At 37.8% G+C, this 21,187-nt stretch overlaps 1 protein-coding gene across 8 annotated transcripts in view, besides 1 other annotated feature; it reads right to left on the reverse strand.

Annotated features, from left to right (window-relative positions):
- TMEM131 (transmembrane protein 131) overlaps window positions 1–21,187 on the reverse strand; it is a 239,613-nt gene that overhangs the window by 165,480 nt on the left and 52,946 nt on the right. For 7 of the 8 annotated variants that reach the window (XM_047443844.1, XM_047443843.1, NM_015348.2 and 4 more), the window contains exon 2: window positions 5,611–5,672. In XM_047443844.1, the coding sequence (XP_047299800.1) occupies window positions 5,611–5,672 (62 nt within the window). Of the gene's footprint in view, window positions 1–3,530; window positions 3,901–5,610; window positions 5,673–21,187 lie in introns of those variants that run through there. The other variant, XM_047443845.1, reaches the window with a different exon arrangement.
- Window positions 14,341–14,842: an enhancer, noted in NCBI's record as "OCT4-NANOG hESC enhancer chr2:98552619-98553120 (GRCh37/hg19 assembly coordinates)". NCBI's record gives its function as "activates a minimal SCP1, AML or CMV promoter by ChIP-STARR-seq in primed H9 embryonic stem cells {active_cell/tissue: H9 hESC(primed)}" and the evidence as "EXISTENCE:reporter gene assay evidence [ECO:0000049][PMID:30033119]".

Consider the following 21,187-nt stretch of genomic DNA (forward strand, 5'->3'; position numbering starts at 1 on the left):
TGAGAAATCAGGGAAACGAAAATAAAATGGAAATTACAGATCATTAGCCATTCTCCAGAACAGAAGGAGGGAAGGAAGAAAACACTTTACAAAGTTGTTGCAGAGGAATTCCTGATGACAGGTTTGCAAACTAAAACAACCACTTTGGAAAACTATATGCATTATCTATTAAAATGGAAGATACACATACTCTATGACAGTGGTCCCCAACATTTCTGGCACCAGGGACTGGTTTCATGGAAGACAATTTTTCCATGGATGGGGGGTTAGCGGGATGGTTTCAGAATAATACTGTTCCACCTGAAATCATCAGGCACTAGTTAGATTCTCCTAAGGCACGCGCACAACCTAGATCTCTCATGTGCAGTTCACAATAGGGTTTGCACTCCTATGAGAATCTAATGCCACCACTGATCTGACAGGAGGCTGAGCTCAGGAGGTAATGTTCACTTCTTCACCCACCACCTGCTGTGCAGCCCTGTTCCTAACAGGCCACAGACCGGTACTGGTCCATGGCATGGGGGTTGGGGATCCCTACTCTATGACCCAACAACTGCATTCTAATCCCTCAGAAAAAAATCATTTGAACACATATATTATGTTCACCAAGAGACAGCATTATTCTTAACAGCAAAAAACAAGAAGCAACCAAAATACACATAAACAGCAGAAATAATACATAAATTGGGGCATATCCATACAATGCAACACTATTCAGCAATGAAACTGAAGTAACTACAGTTACACTCAACACATAATGCTGTGAATCTTAGAAACATAATGCTGAGAAAAAGGAGCCAGAAAAAAAAAATACAAACTGTATGAACTTCAAAAAATATGTGACCCTGTAGTATTTAGAGATATACACTCAGATGTTAAAATTACAGGGAAAGGCAATTATTATAAAATTCTGGAAAATGGCTAACTTTATGGGTAGTAACTAGGAGAGAGCTTGAGGGGAAACTTTGGAGGGTAATGGCCTGTTTTTAGTTTTTAATCTGGGTGGTGGTTACACAGGTATTTGCCTTGCATTCCCTCCCCAAATTTAAGCATCTATATGTAAATTATATCTCACAATAAACACTTTAAAGAAAAAAAATAAATGAATCAAAATCGTATACTCTTTGCAAGAAGGCTCAATATAGGTTCTCTAATTAAGTGGTTAGAATTCCATTTATAAAACATGGCTTTTGCCAGGCACAGTGGCTCACACCTGTAATCCCAGCATTTTGGGAGGCCAAAGCAGGTGGATCACTTGGGGTCAGGAGTTCGAGACCAACCTGGCCAACATGGTGAAACTCTGTCTCTACTAAAACTACAAAAGTTAGCTGGGTGTTGTGGCACACGCCTGTAATCCTGGTGGCTGAGGCAAGAGAACTGCTGGAACCCAGGAGGCAGAGGCTGCAATGAGCTGAGATTGCTCACTGCACTCCAGCCTGGGTGACAGAGCGAGACTCCATCTCAAAAAAAGTAAATAAATAAAAATAAAATAAAACAGGACTTTAAGTTTTAAAAGACAAAATTCTGCCAGGCATAGTGGCTCAGGTCTATAATCCTAGCATTTTGGGAGGCTGAGATGGGAGGACTGCTTGAGCCCAGGAGTTTGAGACCAGCCTGGGCAACATAGTGAGAACCTACCTCTATAAAAAATGAATAATTAGCCAGATGTGGTGGCATGTGCCTGTAGTCCCCGCTACTTGAGAGGCTGAGGGAGGAGGGTCACTTGAGCCTGGGAGGTTGAGACAACAGTGAGCCATGATTGTGCCACTGGCCTCCAGCATGGGTAACAGAGCAAGACACTGTCTTTTTTTTTAAAAAAAAAAAAAAAAAAAAAAAAAGACAAAATTCTGTTTGTGTTTTCAACTCACAAACATTCTAGAGCTTGCTTTCCAAAATTTTAAAATTCTATTTATTATTCTGGCAGGATAGTGAAAAAAATACAGAGCTAGCTTTTTTCCTGACCTTTATCTTCATATAAAAAAGTTAGATTAGGCCGGGCGCAGTGGCCTAATCCCCGCACTTGGGGAGGCTGAGGCGGGTGGATCACGAGGTCAGGAGATTGAGACCATCCTGGCTAACACGGTGAAACCCCGTCTCTACTAAAAATACAAAAAATTAGTCGGGCTTGGTAGCGGGTGCCTGTAGTCCCAGCTACTCAAGAGGCTGAGGCAGGAGAATGGCGTGAACCCAGGAGGCAGAGCTTGCAGTGAGCCGAGACTGCGCCACCGCGCTCCAGCCTGGGTGACAGAGCGAGACCCCATCTCAAAAAAAAAAAAGTTAGATTAGAGGCCGAGCATGGTGACTCACATCTGTAATCCCAGCACTTTGGGAGACCAAGGCGAGAAGATGGCTTGAGGCTAGGAATTCAAGGCCAGCCTGGGCAACATAGACCTCTGTCTCTATAAAAAATACAAAAAATTGGATGGGTATGGTGGCATGTGCCTGTAGTCCCAGCTACTCTGGAGTCTGAGGCGAGAGGTTCACTTGGGCCCGGGAGGTCAAGGTTGCAGTGAGCTGTCATTGCGCCACTGCAAACCAGCCTGGGCAATAGAGTGAGACCCTGTCTCTATGAACTGTGTGGTCAGTCAGCTGTGGAGCTCCGTATGCTGGCCAAGTTCTGATGTGCTCTCTGGACCTCCAAGGTCAGGACATGGGGGTCCACTGGCCCTGTGGGGACAGGCATGCATTTTTTACCCCAGCTCAGCCACCATCTCCCTGCCTGTGGTACACCTGGCCCCTGTCCCCACCACATCCCACCACCTGTACAATGGGACCCTTGGGTACCATGCCATCAGTTGCTGGTGAGGCCCAGGTGAGTTCGTTCCTGTAATGCCCTTAGGAAAGTACCTGTCACCAGAAATTTTTAAAGCTCTCAAGGTGATTCCAATGCGGAGCTGGGGCTGAGATGCTCCAGGTTTTGAGGACTTTGGCCAAGGGCGTGAACCTCTTAGAGGAGGAATGGCTGGGCAATAATGGGGGCTTTGCTCACCACTTTAGCTCAGGACTCTCAACCCCCCTTTAAAATGAGGTGCAAAATAAATTTAAGGGACTTGAACTCAGGGAACACTTTTTTGTAGTTGTTGATACAGGATCTCACTCTGCTGCCCAGGCTGGAGTACAGTGGCACAATCACAGCTCACTGAAGTCTCGACCTCCCAGGCTCAAGCGATCCTCCTGCCTCAGACACCAGAGTAGCTGGGACCACAGGTGTGTGCCAACACACCTGGCTAATTTTTTGTAGAGACAAGGTTTCCCTACATTTCCCAGGCTGGTCTTGAACTCCTGGACTCAAGCGACTGACCCGTCTCAGCCTCCCAAGGTGTTGGGATTACAGGCGTGAACCACTGTGTCCACCCCTGCCTCTATTTTTTTTAAAAAGAAAGTTAGATTAGGAAGCAGATTCAGGTTTATTAAATTATGCTTGTAAATGAAAGAATCTTTTGTTATTCCATTTTATAATCTTTCAAAGGAACAGGTTAGAAGAGCCAACCATTCTGATCAGTTAGGATGGGAATGATGGTTTGAGATACCTGACCAGGGCATCCTGTGGTTATGGCCTTAATGTGGATTTCTTCTGTTGAGATGCAGATTCCTCAGAGTCCGTGTCATCTTAGGAACGGTCTGATCTTTACGTATTCTGGATGCTAAATCTTAGTCCAGCCAAACAGGAATGACAATGGCCAAAGCATCAACTATAGAAAACATAATCTATGGGGGTTATAATTTATATTCATAACAAGTGCAAACCCATGGAATATCTGAGAGCACTGCACATGCATCGTGCCGTGGAGAGTTTTGAAATTAGACATGGTGAGTATGGTACTTACTGGACACTGAATTCCTGCTCTAGCAATTGAGTACTACAGAATAAATTATTTAACTTCCATAAACCTAATTTTCCTTATCTAAAAATAAAGAAAACAAGTCTAATCTTTTTGGCAATTTTTAAAATTTATTTTTTTACTGATTTCTTATCAGTTGATTTTTGAGGATTAAAAAAATTACTATGAGTTGGCCGGGCGCGGTGGCTCACACCTGTAATCCTAGCACTTTGGGAGGCCGAGGCGGGCGGATCATGAGGTCAGGAGATTGAGACCATCCTGGCTAACATGGTGAAACCCCGTCTGTACTAAAAATACAAAAAAAATTAGCTGGGCATGGTGGCAGGCGCCAGTAGTCCCAGCTACTTGGGAGGCCTAGGCAGGAGAATGGTGTGAACCCGGGAGGCAGAGCTTGTGGTGAGCCGAGATCGCGCCACTGCACTCCAGGCCTGGGTGACAGTGCGAGACCCTGTCTCAAAAAAAAAAAAAAAAATTACTATGGCCAAGCCACATGAATGTACATGAATTGCAGATCTAAGAAGGAATGTTCTTGGGCAAAATTCACATTTTAAATAATGTAAAACAAGGTTGTTGCTTTGACACTCTCCCTGCTTTAGCTTAAATTTAAATTAGAGAAAGGATATATATTCTGCCATAGAAATGCTACATGTACATTTTTCTGTTCTAATCATAGCATAAGAAACCAGGAGTTATTTAAAATCGTTAAACCTATTGGTAAATTACAGTCAGAAAAAGATAACATTATGTCAAAATAAAAATTGTTTCTGAGAAACACTCTTCAACATTAAAATGAACAATTTTACATCTATTCAAAAGGGTCTTCTATTCAGCTATTTAGGGGCCATATACTACATTATATAGCATCTCAATATTAGACATTCTGTAGGAGTCTTAGGTTTTTTTGTGGCTTAAGTAACCAATTGATACTACTTGCCCTCAACATTTTTCTAGACCAAAATTACCTTTGCCACAGAATTCTGAGATCTCACCCAAGCTCCTGTCCAAGCATCTGAGCAGATCCAAAGACTATTAGTGAATCACATCCCAGTTCACAAGCTTTTCCATAGCCAACTCCATCTAGATACAAATTAGCAGCCTCCCTCAGCAAAAATACAAATCATGCTCCAGAATTTTTAGAATGGATTATCAACCTGCAACCTAGATGTCCAGTTCCTAACAGACACAAATCCTTCCTCAATCAATACAGAGCAAACACACTTAGGGAATTTTCCAGAAATTCAGTCCTGATTTGTCTGCCATCCAGATCCTATAAACAACCACCTAAAGGGAGATATTTAAAACATTTGTTCCCATAGGTTCTCCAAGTTCTCACCTTGAAACAGATTAAAGAACTAGAAAAAAGAGACTTAAGATCATTTTTTAGTAGGAAGGCTTTATAAAATTAGAGCTCATTATGTTCAGTTTTTATTCAGTTTTAAAACATACAAAGCTGACTCTAGGCAAATACTATGCAACCACTCTCTATTACATTTCTCAACACCTCTTACGTAAAGATAAGAATGATAATGTACTTATTTACAAGGTTTTAATACCACAATGAGTTTGCATTTTAAAGAAATATTTAATCTAAAAGAAAACTCACGTAACTACAGAGGTTTTTATATTACTAAAGACTCTACTGACCTATCTTCAAAGCTCATAAAATATAAATATATTTCAGATAAACCAATTACATTTTTAAAAGAAAAATAATAACCAGATATTATTCAAGGCTTAACAATAACTTGTCTACTTAAAAAAAAATTACCTGTAGTAGCCCTCCATCATCAAAACGCAGTACTTCTATTATGCTCTCTGACTGAACGAATGCTGTGAAGAAAACAAAACATACCATCACTTACAGGAACATAAATTTGATTTTCATAACATCTTTGACTTTAAAGTTAATTAATATAATTTTATATCTAAAAATGGACTGCTTAATGGTGATGGTTGAAAAGAAAAATATGACTAATACTTCAGAATTTTACAAACTAAGAAATACTTTAAAATAAAACAAATAATAAAGTAACTTCAACAACCTACAGGCTATATGCATCAACTTCAAAATATCCATTACTGTTATATTATGAGAAAGCACAAAATAGTCAAATTCAACAAGATGCAACTAATTATTTTCCCTGATAGATTAATTGAAAATATCAAAAGCATATAGAAAAGATCACTACAGTATTATATTTCCCCCAAGAAATGATCAGCTGAAATTCGGTATCATCTGCTTTTTTGTAGTGATGATATGACCTGGGATCCACAGTCAAAGGGATTTGGTGAGGAAGTGGGCAGGGAAAATAGCAAAAGATTATTCTGATCCAAGAAACAGCAATGCAAAGGTAATATATTTAAAAGCTAACATAGTTATACCATACAATCTGGCGATCGTGCTTCTGGTATTGACTGAACTGATTTGAAACCTTACATACAAAAATCTACATACAATTCCTTAAAGCAGCTTTATTCATAATCACCAAAATCTGGGCATAGTCAAGATGGCCATCAAAGGTGAACAGACAAACTGTGGTATATCTATACAATGGAATATTACTAAAAGAAAAGGCTACATACTGTATGCTTCCAAGTACATGACATTCTGGAAAAGGGACAATTATGGAGATAGTAAAAAGATCAGTGGTTGCTAGGAGATCAGGGGGAGATGGGAAAGGTTGAATAAGTGAAGCACAAATATATTTTAGGGTGGTAAAACCATTCTTTATCAAATTGTAATGGTGGATACAGGACATGATGCATTTGTCAAAACAGAACTTCACAGCACAAAAAGTGAATCTAAATGTATGCAAATTTTAAAAATTTATTTAGAAGACTGGGAGACTCCAGGATGGAATGCATAAAATGACAAAACAATTTAACTGTATTACAAATGAATGAATCAACCTTACTGAAGTGGGGGGAGAGGGGAGAGTGCTCACCTAAGTAATTCTGGAAATGAATAGAATCTGTAAGACTAAAGGCAAAAGAAACCATACACACGCAATGTATTCTAGTTAATAATGCTTTTTCCCATGGGAGTTTGGGTTAACCATTCTGATGCCACTATACATGTACACTGAAATCGAACAATTAAGTACACAGATGGTGGATACTGGGAGCCAGGTGTCTCACTGTTGGAAGAGCAATTTATACAGAAACAAGGCGGGGGAGGCCAAAATGATCCAGGTGGTAATGGTTAAGAGTCAGTGATATCAGTAAGAATTCATGTTTAGTGAAACATATACATTATTACATACATATAAGAATATTTATAGATGTGTATATTCATAGGTTAGTATACATACATGTATTTCCTTGCTCTGTCAGCTCTAAGAGCCTAAAGCAATGACATGCCAATAGCAAAGAACACACCTGGAACTCAGATCTTGTGTTCTAATATTATTTTCCAATAAAAGAAACCAGGGCTTCCTGGAGCAATGGCCGATTTGAGGACAGGGGCAGGAAATACACGAGATGAGAATGGAGCATCCTATAGTGCCGGAAAGTAAAAAATAGAGAAAACCACCCAAATCCTACACTGATGGGGATAGAGAAAGGAAGGTAAGAATCAACAGAAAGAGCTCCCAAATGACCAAAGCTGAAACAATCTGAGCAACAAAATGAAGAAGTACTAGATGTAGCCCAAAGTATAAAATAAATATCCATAAACCCATATTGCTATAAATTGCTGAATAAATGGGAGAAAAGGGACAACTTTCACATGCAGAATTTCAACTATGTGATATTTCATTTGGCTTAATATGGAATTCACTGACTCCCATTTGTTGGTCTTTTGGAAATCAGGGAAGACACTCACTGTCCCACATATGTACCTGGCTGTTCCGGTATGACAAAAGTGGACAGTCAAGCAGCAGAATAAGATACTAGTTAATTAGATTACATTACCTCGTTGGATGTTTTTTCTGCCTGCCAAGCATCCTTTTCTCCTTAGTCTAGCAGTCACATCCTGATTTTATTTTGGGAAAACTCCTGTCCTCCATTTCCTGTGTTTCTCTTCAATGACAGTGCCAACCTGCTCCACTTCTATTCATCCCCTAACCAGTCTGTGGCATATAGAGAATATTCAATAAATACTGAAAGCATGAATGATGTCCCACCTTTTTGCTCAGGTACAATAAGCACTGGCATTTGTACTTACTGATGCAAATGACCTTTTTCTGGTTATGTTATCTCTAGTCCTGGCTTATAGTGGAATTTCAATATCAAGATCAGAGCTAATGGCTCCAACAGAATTACTGACACAGTATACTTAGAATGTCTCTAAGTAAAGTGATAAACTCATTACAATAAAGGACTATGAATATAAAAGGCTCTGCTCAGCTCACCCATCCCATTCCTCACCTGTTCCCCCCACTTTTTAACACAAACTGAAATTTCACAGGATCCAGAGAATTTTTTGGTTATTCCCTACTGAAGACAAATTTATTAACATAAGAACACAATGAACTAACAAGAAATAACTGAACAGCCAGATGTTCACAATGTAAAAGACATAAAGTCAAGGCCTCTAATTAGAAGCTTTATGTCTAATTGGCAGAGGAAACCAACAAGAAACAACTGGAAACGAGCTATAGGTGGCTGCTATTAAGAGTTCCAATAGAACGACCACTGAATGAGTTCCCACCATTGAGCCAGAAGAAATGCTGATCTAACTGAAGAGAACTACATAAAGGCAGTAGTTTGGGTATACTGCTTTTTAAATCAGAAGCTTTAAAAATATATAAAAATTCTATTATGAATTATGAATTCATATTTTAAAAAGTATGAGTTATGTTAAAAATATGAATGTTAGTTAAAAAAATTAATAACAGCAGCTGATTATAAAGTCTCAAAAGGAAAATACTATGTTACACATCACTGGCTTTCCTTAAAAGATGTAGAGATAAATAGGATTCAACTCTGGCATAAAACAAATTAACGTATTTTGCTTTAAACAGCCAATTATAATACCTTTCAATTATATGCCTCAAAAAACAGAACACTAGATACAGACTTAATCATTTCACATGCAGTTATTAAGCTATAAAATATAAAATGTAACAAAAGTCAGTCAAGTTATCACATCTCCAGATTCAAAACCAGAACTAGTAACAGCTTCCTCTCCCAAAAATATTTCCCCTAATTTTATGCTGTTAATGAATCCCAAACTTTCCTGATGTTCCCTAGTTCAAGCATCAAACAACTGTAATTGAAATAAAAATAAACTAATAATTACTGATCACTGTTGTTAATATTCAAACTAACCCTATGACACAGACATTATGATCCATTTTAAGGTAAAGAAATACACACAGAGAGATATACTTAGCAAGAAAGTGGCTAGAGAAAAGTATGAATTCTGGCAATGTGAATCTGTGCTTCTAAACCCATCCCTATTTATTTTCAAAATAAACTTTACAGAATGCTCATGACTAACAGCACCTTTTAGCAACCAAATTTTTTTAATTGGGCATATATTTCTGACAATAAGTGAGGAAAGGAAGATTTACAAAGGAAAGAAAAGGATTTACATTTCTGGCTTTTACGATTCTACTCATATTTACTCTGAAGCTGGGCTCAGTAAGATCTACTTTAAGCTCCTCACACCGACCCACATCTCTAAGCTGTCTGTGAGTAACAAAGCCATTTATAATCAGTGTAAAAATGTCAATGTGTCAGTTGTTTCAAAATAGGAACACTTGCTTTCAAAACAGAAGTTCACAAACTGTTTACTTCCCTATTTCATTTAGTTAAGATTAAAAATATCTTTCACTTTAAAGACAAATCTTTGTCTACTAAGTTTTTGTTTTTCTTTTAGGTGAAGGTATTTTTCTGAATATTACAACTGATGAATAAATATAATTTGCAATTTTAATACATCTAAAATAACTCATGAAAAAAACAAATGCTGTAAATAACTAGTAGAAAAATTTATGCCATATTGTGGGGGGTGGTATCAGGCATTAGGAACCTAGGTTGTCATTGCATATCTTTACCTTCTAGCCTTCACAATCTCCTCACCCACAAAAGGAGAAGGCTGGACTAGTCAAATCAGCGATTTTTAAACTTTCTTCTACAAAAACTAGGAACAGAAGAAAGGGCCACACAGGCAGGCCTCAGGAGGGTCCCCAAAGCTGTGTTACAGAGTCACCTTGCCTAGCATGCTGTTGTTATGGCTGGCATCTTCTCCTCCTTCAAGTCTCAGCCTTGACCCCACTCACAGTGTGGCCCTCCTTGGCTTCTCAGAGCAGCCCAGTTATCCTCTATTATATTCCCTATCTTAATTCTTATCACAATCTGTAAAAGTTCCTGGTTTGCTTGTCAATAATCTGTGCCTAGAAGCAAGTCTGAAAAACATAAGATAAGAAATTCTGGTTAGGATAATGACATTGTGCTTGAGCCCAGGGGGCAGAGGTTGCAGTGGGCTGAGATAGTGCCAATGCACTCCAGCTTGGGTGACAGAACAAGACCCTGTCTTAAAAAAAAAAAAAAAAAAGACACTGCTATTTTAGAATTCAACATTGTTAAATACATCAATATCTCTTTTACAGTTACACTTGCTCAATATTTTGTTTCAACAAAGGGCTCAATAGCAATTTTAAAACATCCTGGACTAGGTCCACATGGGTCCCTTCGAGCTTAAAGACATTTTATGATCAAAGCTTTGTTTCTTCCCTCATTAGTTTTATTATCTGAAAAATGTAACATATACTTGTCTTCTTGCCACATTAGAAGTACAAGGGAACTCATATAAACCATATTTTAATTTTATCAAGACCACTCAATATCATCAACTTCCTAAAGAAGCTAATGCCCATGTTGTTTACTAAAACTCAAAATATAATCCTATGTAATTCAGATGTGCAGGATATATACCATACATCTAAAAAGATGAGCCAGAAAGGTTTTTCAAAATTAATTTTATAGCTAAAGACAAAATACCATAATTAATTTTCACCTTATCCTAAAGAATCTAAGTCATCTAAAAAGATCTGTAAACTTCAGTTATAAAATGTAGAACTAATGCTCAAGAACCACCAACTACTCTTAGCAGCTTCAGTATCAGAAAATCACTAAAACTCTGAAGCTCGCACTGCAAATGCTCTAAAAACTAAGCTATTACTGGAACTATAGCCCAAAACAGCAGGCCCTAGTCAGGACCTATATGATAAACCTAAATAGGCTGACTGTTAAAACAAAGTATTTAAATGCAGTCATGTACCATGTAATGTTTTGGTCAACGATGGACTGCATAGATGATGGTGGCTCCATAAGATTATAATACTGTATTTACTGTACCCTTTTCTATGTTTAGATACACGAAAACTTGCCATTGTGTTACAACTGCCTACAGTATTCAGTATAGTAACATGTTGTACAGGCTTGCAGTCTAGGAGCAATAGGCTGTATCATATACCTTAGGTATGTAGTAGGCTATACCACCTAGGTTTGTGTAGGTACACTCTATGTTAGCACAATGATTAAATGGCCTAACACCACTTAGGATGTTTTCCACGTTGAGTGATGCGTGACCATAGTACCCAAAGTCTCCAAACAGAAACACCAAGTGTCCATCACAGATGAATGGATCAACATGGCAGTTACATAATGAAATATTATTCAGCCACAAAAAAGAATGAAATTCTGATATATGCTACAACATGGATGGACCTTGAAAATATTATAGTAAGTGAAATAAGCTAGACAAAAAAGGGCAAATACTGTGCTTCTACTCACATGAAAAATGTAGAATAAGCAAATTCACGGGGACAGAAAGTAGATTAGAGGTTACTGGGCAACAGGGTAGGGGGAAGTGAGGAGTTGTGGCTTAATGGTTACTGAGTCTCTAGGGTAATGAAAAAAGAATGGTGGTGTTTGTATAACATTGTGATTAATGCTACTGAATTGTACACTTAAAATAGTTATAAATGCTGAATTTTATGCTACATACATGTTATTTTAAAAACTACAAAACTCATTAACTTAGACAAAAAAAAAATTACAAATTGAACCCAGCAATGTATAAAATTATGCATCACGACCAAGTGACTTTTACTCAAGGTATGCAAGACTCACCCAAAATTCAAAAACTGATCATTGTAATTCACCCCATCAACAGGCTAAAGAGGAAAAACACATGATCATATCAACTGACACAGAAAAAGTATTTGACAAAACCGAACACCTCTTCATGATAAAAACTCTCAAGAAGATAGGAGAAATGTAGAACTACCTCAATCTCAACCTCTAGGTAATATCCTTCTTACCAGTAAAAGACTGAATATATAGGCCCTGAGACTGGGAACATGTCAAGGATGTGGCTCTCACTCTATTCAACATGTGCTAGAAGTTCTGGCCACTTTAACAAGGCAAGGAAAAAAAAAAGACGAACACACTGGAAAGGAAATAAAACTCCCTAATTGCAGGCTACATACTTGTCTATGTAAAAACCCCAAGGACTCAAAAAGAAAAGTCCTTCTTAAAGGTAATAAGTACATATAGCAAAGTTGCAGAATACAAGGTCTAAATCCTAAAATCCAGTACATTTCTATATACTAACAATGAATATGCAAAAATCAACATTAAAATGCCATTTACAACGCCATTTACGACTCCAAATAAAATGAAGTACCTCAGATATAAATCTAAGAAAGCATGCACAGGACATATGTACTGAAATATACAAAATGCTGATGAAATAAATCAAAGAAGATCTACATAAACAAGAAGACACACTATATTCATGGATTAAAAGACTCAAAATGTAAAGATGTTAATTCTTCCCAAATTAATCTGTGGGTTTAATGTAAACCCTGTAAAAATCCCAGGATAATTTTTTGTTGACAAGCTTATACAAAAAATTAGATAGGAACAAACCCTAGAATTGCTAAAAACAATCTTCAAAAACAAGAATAAAGTGAGAGGAATCACTCCACCAGACATTATGTCTTACTGCATAACTTCAGTAACCAAGGCAGTGTGATATTGGCAGAGGGATAGACACATAAATCACTTGCAGAGAGTAGAACACCTAGAAACAGAACCATATATGCCTCACTGGTTTTGACAAAATTGCAAAAGCAATTCATTGGAAGAACAGCTTTTCCAACAAATAGCACAGAAGCAATGAGACATCTATAGACCAAAACAATATTTTTCTTAAAGAACCCTGACCTAATCCTTACAACTTATACAAAAATTAACTCAAAATACATCACTGCTCTAAATTTAAAATGTAAAACTATAAAACTTTTTAAAAAGGATAGAGAAGATCTTCAGGATCTAAGGTTTGGCAGTGTTCCTAGAGTTGACACCAAAAGCACAATCCAGAAAAAAAAAATGATAAATTGTTGTACCTCATTCAAAATTAAAAACTTTGCCCTTCACATGACCCTGTTAAGAGTAGGACAGGACAAACTACGAAAAGGTATAAAATATTTGCAAACTACATATTTAACAAAAGTCTAAAGATCTAGGCTATATAAAGAACTCAAAAACAAACAGAAAAGAACAATCCAATAAGCAAGTGAAAAGATGTTCAACATCATTAACCATCAGGGAAATGGTAATGAAAGCCACAATATCAGGATGGTGAAAATGAAATACCCATTCCTATCAAAAGATCAACATCCTGGTTGTGACTTTGTAGTATTCTTTGTCAAGATATTGCCATTGGGAGGAACCAGGTACAGGCTACACAGGATCTCTCTGTATAACTTCTTATAACAGTGTATGATTCTAAAATGATCTCAATAAGAATCTGTATTAAAAAATGAAATAGCTAATGATAAATTCTGGTAATTAGTTCTACCTGCTCAATAGTTTATCTTCAAAATGTTTTTGTAATAGTGATTCTTAAATGGGTTAATATTTATAATATTAAGATAATGAAATTTAATTTCAGGACCTACATGCCATTATCAATGTTAATTCAATCAACTGGTTTTGACAGCAAAAGTTGAGAATAGTTTGAAGAAACAAAATAGCACAGAAGAAGAAAAAAAAGCAACAGAGGTACTGTCAGTGAAAATGGCAAAGTTAGGGACATTTGAAAATTCTAACAAGAACAAGAAAATTGGCAGCATCAGAATAAACTTTCTAAGAACTCTGGCAATTAACCAAAAGCTTGCAGCAATCTCCAAAAGCTTGCAGCAATCCATGGAATGTTAATACATTTTTAAAAAGCTGAATCTCAACAAGAACAGTGAAATATGTGGCATTTAACTTTTCTATTCTCATTCTCTTCTCTCCAGCTCTGTGACAGCACTATAACCAACAGCCCAATCACAGTGAAAATCAGCAGCCTGACAGGCAATAAGGGTGGCAGAACAATGCTGCAGCTCCTCGAAAGCCTGATTTCCAGAGAACTGTCTTTATCTGATCTGTGTGGTGAGTCCCAGTGAGGCCCCACCTGGAAGGCTACTTTTATTTGACCTGACTCAGAGCTTTCCCACTGTGAAAAGCCTCGACCCTGGTAACAGTTGTCAAAAACCTTTAGGGGAAATTTTTAAAAATTTGGCTGCAGAACAATGTGGTAGATGACAGTTGGGCCAAACAATAAGCAGACCCAAAAGTTTAAAAGGAAAAGTTGGGAATAAGATGTCCACAGGGGCTGTAAAAAGTGTTGACACCTTCCTGCCAATCTAGAAGGTCCTGTGTACGCATCGGGCTCTGGCTCTGCCTGTGCTCAGAAGAAACCTGAGACATCCCTAAGCTCTCACACCTGGGGCTGACCCCAGGCTTTGTGTAAACAGGAGGGGAAGGCTAAGGAACAGCTGTCAACTGCCCGGCTGAGTGTTTTGATGTGCCCCAACACACACATATGTACGCAAATACACAGGCCTCTCAACAAAGATGGGGAGAATTACTGGTTCCAGGTTTTTAAGGAAATCTCTGTTCAATCATTAGATGACTATGAAGCTCACCACACGGAGACTTCAGTAGCCATGCACCACAAATAATATAGATTTAAAATAACTTGTTCAGAAAGCCACTAAACAAACAGCAACAAAAACAACAACAAACCTTAGGGAGGGGAAAATCTAATTTCCAGAGTTGCCACCTTATATGTTAGTTGTCCAGTTTTCAACAAAAAATTGAGAGACATACAAAGAAACAAAAAAGTATAAAGGGACAAAAAGTATTTAATAGAAACTGCCCTTGAGAAAGCCCAGGTTTTAGAATTACTGAATAATTTAATTCAGCTATATTAAATATATTCAAAGAACTAAAGGAAATAATGTCCAAAGAACTAAAAGTCACACCAAATGGAGAATATTAAGAAGAGAAAGAAATTATTAAAATAACCAAATAGAAAAGCACAGTAACTGAAATGAGCCCCTCCCACTGCCCAGTTTTCAAATAAATTTAAAGAAACAAGAAAGTATGGCTCATACATAGGAAAAAATGCAATCAACAGTAATGGTCCCTGAGGACAGGACTTACTAGAAGACTTTAAATAAGCTATTTTAAATATGTTCAAAGGAAAAAAGGAAACCACGTGCAAAACTAAAGTATGAGAACAACGCTTCACCAAACAGAAAATATCAATAAAGAGAAAGAAACTGGAAAAAACAAGCAAATTGAAATTCTGGACATAAAAGTACAATAACTAAAATAATTCATCAGAGGGGCTCAATAGCATATTTTGGCAGGCAAAGGAAAGAATCAGCAAACTCAAAAATAGGTTGGTTAAGATTATCCAGTCTGGGAAACAGAAATAAAAATGAAGAAAAATGAAAAGAGCCTGAGTGACTACAAAACACCATCTGTACAACAGGAGTCTCAGAAGAGGAGAGAAAAAAAGGCATGAAGAATATTTGAAGAATAGGTGACATTAGTCCAAACTAAACTATTACAAGTTGATGTTAATTGTAATTCTCACAGCAACTATTAAAAAATAAATTTTAAAAATTCAGACTTTAAGATAAAAATTGCTACAAGAGGAAAAAAGACATTTAATAATAATAAAGGGATCACTCCATTAAGATGACATAATTATAAACATACGTGAACCTAACAAGAGAGCTCCAAAACACAGGAAATAAAAACATGCAGGATGAAGGGATAAAGAAGAAATTCAATAAAAATATTTGGAGAATTCAATATCCCACTTTCAAACATGGGTAGAACAACTAGAGAGAAGGTCATCAGACTAACAGCGGATCTCTCTGCAGAAACTCTGCAAGCCAGAAGAGAGTGGGGGCCAATATTCAACATTCTTAAAAGAATTTTCAACCCAGAATTTCATATCCACCCAAACTAAACTTCGTAAGTGAAAGAGAAATAAAATCCTTTACAGACAAACAAATACTGAGAGATTCTGTCACCACCAGGCCTGCCTTACAAGAGCTCCTGAAAGAAGCACTAAACATGGAAAGGAACAACCGGTACCAGCCACCTGCAAAATCATGCCAAATTGTAAAGACCATCAAGGCTAGGAAGAAACTGTATCAACTAACGAGCAAAATAACCAGCTAACATCATAATGACAGGATCAAATTCACATATAACAATATTAACCTTAAATGTAAATGAGCTAAATGCTCCAATTAAAAGACACAGACTGGCAAATTGGATAAAGAGTCAAGACCCATCAGTGTGCTGTATTCAGGAAACCCATCTCACCTGCAGAGACACACATAGGCTCAAAATAAAGGGGTGGAGGAAAATCTGCCAAGCAAATGGAAATCAAAAAAAAGCAGGGGTTGCAATCCTAGTCTCTGATAAAACAGACTTTAAACCAACAAAAATCAAAAGAGACAAAGAAGGCCATTACATAATGGTAAAGGGATCAATTCAACAAGAAGAACTAACTATCCTAAATATATATGCACCAATACAGGAGCACCCAGATTCACAAAACAAGCCCTTAGACACCTACAAAGAGACTTAGACTCCCACACAATAATAATGGGAGACTTCAACACCCCACTGTCAACATTAGACAGATCAATGAGACAGAAAGTTAACAAGGATATCCAGGAATTGAACTCAGGTCTGCACCAAGCAGACCTAATAGACATCTACAGAACTCTCCACCCCAAATCAACAGAATATATGTTCTTCTCAGCACCACATCGCACTTATTCCAAAATTGACCACATAGTTGGAAGTAAAGCACTCCTCGGCAAATGTAAAAGAATAGAAATTATAACAAACTGTCTCTCAGACCATGGTGCAATCAAACTAGAACTCAGGATTAAGAAACTCACTCAAAACCGCTCAACTACATGGAAACTGAACAACCTGCTCCTGAATGACTACTGGGTACATAACGAAATGAAGGCAGAAATAAAGATGTTCTTTGAAACCAATGAGAACAAAGACACAACATACCAGAATCTCTGGGACACATTTAAAGCAGTGTGTAGAGGGAAATTTATACCACCAAATGCCCACAAGAGAAAGCAGGAAAGATCTAAAATTGACACACTAACATCACAATTAAAAGAACTAGAAAAGCAAGAGCAAACACATTCAAAAGCTAGCAGAAGGCAAGAAATAACTAAGATCAGAGCAGAACTGAAGGAGATACAGACAAAAAAAACCCTTCAAAAAATCAATGAATCCAGGAGCTGGTTTTTTGAAAAGATCAACAAAATTGATAGACCTCTAGCAAGACTAATAAAGAAGAAAAGAGAAGAATCAAATAGACGCAATAAAAAATGATAAAGGAGATATCACCACCGATCCCACAGAAATAAACTACCATCAGAGAATACTATAAACACCTCTATGCAAATAAACTAGAAAATCTAGAAGAAATGGATAAATTCCTGGACACATACTCCCTCCCAAGACTAAACCAGAAAGAAGTTGAATCCCTGAATAGACCAATAACAGGCTCTGAAACTGAGGCAATAATTAATAGCCTACAAACCAAAAGAAGTCCAGGACCAGACAGATTCACAGCCGAATTCTACCAGAGGTATAAAGAGGAGCTGGTACCATTCCTTCTGAAACTATTGCAATCAACAGAAAAAGAGGGAATCCTCCCTAACTCATCTTATGAGGCCAGCAACATCCTAATACCAAAGCCTGGCAGAGACACAGGAAAAAAAGAATTTTAGACCAATATCCCTGATGAACATCGATGCAAAATCTTCAATAAAATACTGGCAAACTGAATCCAGTAGCACATCAAAAAGCTTATCCACGAAGATCAAGTTGGCTTCATCCCTGAGATGTAAGGCTGGTTCAACATACGCAAATCAATAAACGTAATCCATCATATAAACAGAACCAAAGACAAAAACTACATGACTATCTCAATAGATGCAGAAAAGGCCTTTGACAAAATTCAACATCCCTTCATGCTAAAAACTCTCAATAAACTAGGTATTGATGGGACATATCTCAAAATAATAAGAGCCATTTATGACAAACCCACAGCCAGTATCATACCGAATAGACAAAAATTGGAAGCATTCCCTTTGAAAACTGGCACAAGACAGGGATGCCCTCTCTCACCACTCCTATTCTACATAGTGTTGGAAGTTCTGGCCAAGCAATCAGGCAGGAGAAAGAAATAAAGGGGTATTCAATTAGGAAAAGAGGAAGTCAAATTGTCCCTGTTTGCAGATGACATGATTGTGTATTTAGAAAACCCCATCATCTCAGCCCCAAATCTCAAGCTGATAAGCAACTTCAGCAAAGTCTCAGGATACAAAATCAATGTGCAAAAATCACAAGCACTCCTATACACCAATAAGAGACAGAGAGCCAAATCATGAGTGAACTCCCATTCACTATTGCTTCAAAGAGAATAAAATACCTAGAAATCCAACTTACAAGGGATGTGAAGGACCTCTTCAAGGAGAACTACAAACCACTGCTCAGTGAAATAAAAGAGGACACAAACGGCCTGGCGTGGTGGCTCACACCTGTAATCCCAGCACTTTGGGAGGCCAAGACGGGCGGATCACGAGGTCAGGAGATCGAGACTATCCTGGCTAACGTGGTGAAACCCCGTCTCTACTAAAAATACAAAAACTTAGCCGGGTGTGGTGGCAGGCGCCTGTTAGTACCAGCTACTTGGGAGGCTGAGGCAGGAGAATTGCGTGAACCTAGGAGGCGGAGCTTGCAGTGAGCCAAGATCGTGGCACTGCACTCCAGCCTGGGCGACAGAGCCAGACTCCATCTCAAAAAAAAAAAAAAAAGACAAAAACAAATGGAAGAACATTCCATGCTCATGGATAGGAAGAATCAGTATCATGAAAATGGCCATACTGCCCAAAGTAATTTACAGATTCAATGCCATCCCCATCAAGCTACCAATGACTTTCTTCACAGGATTGGAAAATACTACTTTAAAGTTCATATGGAACCAAAAAAGAACCCACATTGCCAAGACAATCCTAAGCCAAAAGAACAAAGCTGGAGGCATCACACTACCTGACTTCAAACTATACTACAAGGCTACAGTAACCAAAACAGCATGGTACTGGTACCAAAACAGAGATATAGATCAATGAAACAGAACAGAGCCCTCAGAAATAATACAACACATCTACAACCATCTGATCTTTGACAAACCTGACAAAAACAAGAAATGGGGAAAGGATTCCCTATTTAATAAATGGTGCTGGGAAAACTGGCTAGCCATATGTAGAAAGCTGAAACTGGATCCCTTCCTTACACCTTATACAAAAATTAATTCAAGATGGATTAAAGACTTACATGTTAGACCTAAAACCATAAAAACCCTAGAAGAAAACCTAGGCAATACCATTCAGGACATAGGCATGGGCAACGACTTCATGACTAAAACACCAAAAGCAATGGCAACAAAAGCCAAAATTGACAGATGGGATCTAATTAAATGAAAGAGCTTCTGCACAGCAAAAGAAACTACCATCAGAGTGAACAGGCAACCTACAGAATGGGAGAAAATTTTTACCATCTACCTATCTGACAAAGGGCTAATATCCAGAATCGACAAAGAACTTAAACGAATTTACAAGGAAAAATCAAACAACCCCATCAAAAAGTGGGCGAAGGATATGAACAGGCACTTCTCAAAAGAAGACACTTATGCAGCCAACAGATACATGAAAAAATACTCATCATCACTGGCCATCAGAGAAATGCAAATCAAAACCACAATGCAATACCATCTCACACCAGTTAGAATGGTGATTATTCAAAAGTCAGGAAACAATAGGTGCTGGAGAGGATGTGGAGAAATAGGAACACTTCCACACTGTTGGTGGGACTGTAAACTAGTTCAACCATTGTGGAAGACAGTGGGGCGATTCCTCAAGGATCCAGAACTAGAAATACCATTTGACCCAGCCATCCCATTACCGGGTATATACCCAAAGGATTATAAATCATGCTGCTATAAAGACACATGCACACATATGTTTATTGTGGCACTATTCACAAGAGCAAAGACTTGGAACCAACCCAAATGTCCATCAGTGATAGACTGGATTAAGAAAATGTGGCACATATACACCATGGAATACTATGCAGCCATTAAAAAGGATGAGTTCATGTCCTTTGTAGGGACATGGATGAAGCTGGAAACCATCGTTCTGAGCAAACTATCACAAGGACAGAAAACCAAACACCACATGTTCTCATTCATAGGTGGGAACTGAACAATGAGAACACTTGGACACAGGGTGGGGAACATCACACACCGGGTCCTGTCAATGGGGTGGGGGGAGGGGGGAGGGATAGCATTAGGAGAAATACCTAATGTAAATGACGAGTTAACGGGTACAACACACCAACATGGCACATGTATACATATGTAACAAACCTGCACGTTGTGCACATGTACCCTAGAACTTAAAGTATAATTTAAAAAAAAAAAATACAAAAAAAAAGAAAAGAAAGAAACAGGGAGCATTACTAATGCTACAAAAAGAAATGAACTTTCCAATCTTACAGTAAAAGGGATTAAAAGAGAACACAAGAAACAACTATACACAAACAAATTAGACAGCCTACATGAAATGAACAAATAACTAGAAAGCACAAATTATTGAAATTAACTCCAAAATAAACAGAAAATCTTAACAAACCTAATTAGCCATCAAAGTTTCCCCGCAAAGAATAGCCTAGGGACAGGTGGCTTCACTGATGAATTCTACTAAACATTTAAAGAAGAATTAAAACATATCCTTCACAAGCTTTTTTTAAAAAGCATAAAGAAGGACAAAAAACAGGCTGGGCATGGGGAACGGCTGTAATCCCAGCACTTTAGGAGGCTGAGGCTGAAGGATCATTTGAGCCTAGGAGTTCAACACCAGCCTGGGCAACATAGCAACATACCATGGCTACAAAAAAAAAGAAAGAAAGAAAGAAAGAAAAGAAAGAAAAGAAAG

This window comes from Homo sapiens, chromosome 2, assembly GCF_000001405.40.
Source record: "Homo sapiens chromosome 2, GRCh38.p14 Primary Assembly".
Lineage (NCBI taxonomy): Eukaryota > Metazoa > Chordata > Mammalia > Primates > Hominidae > Homo > Homo sapiens.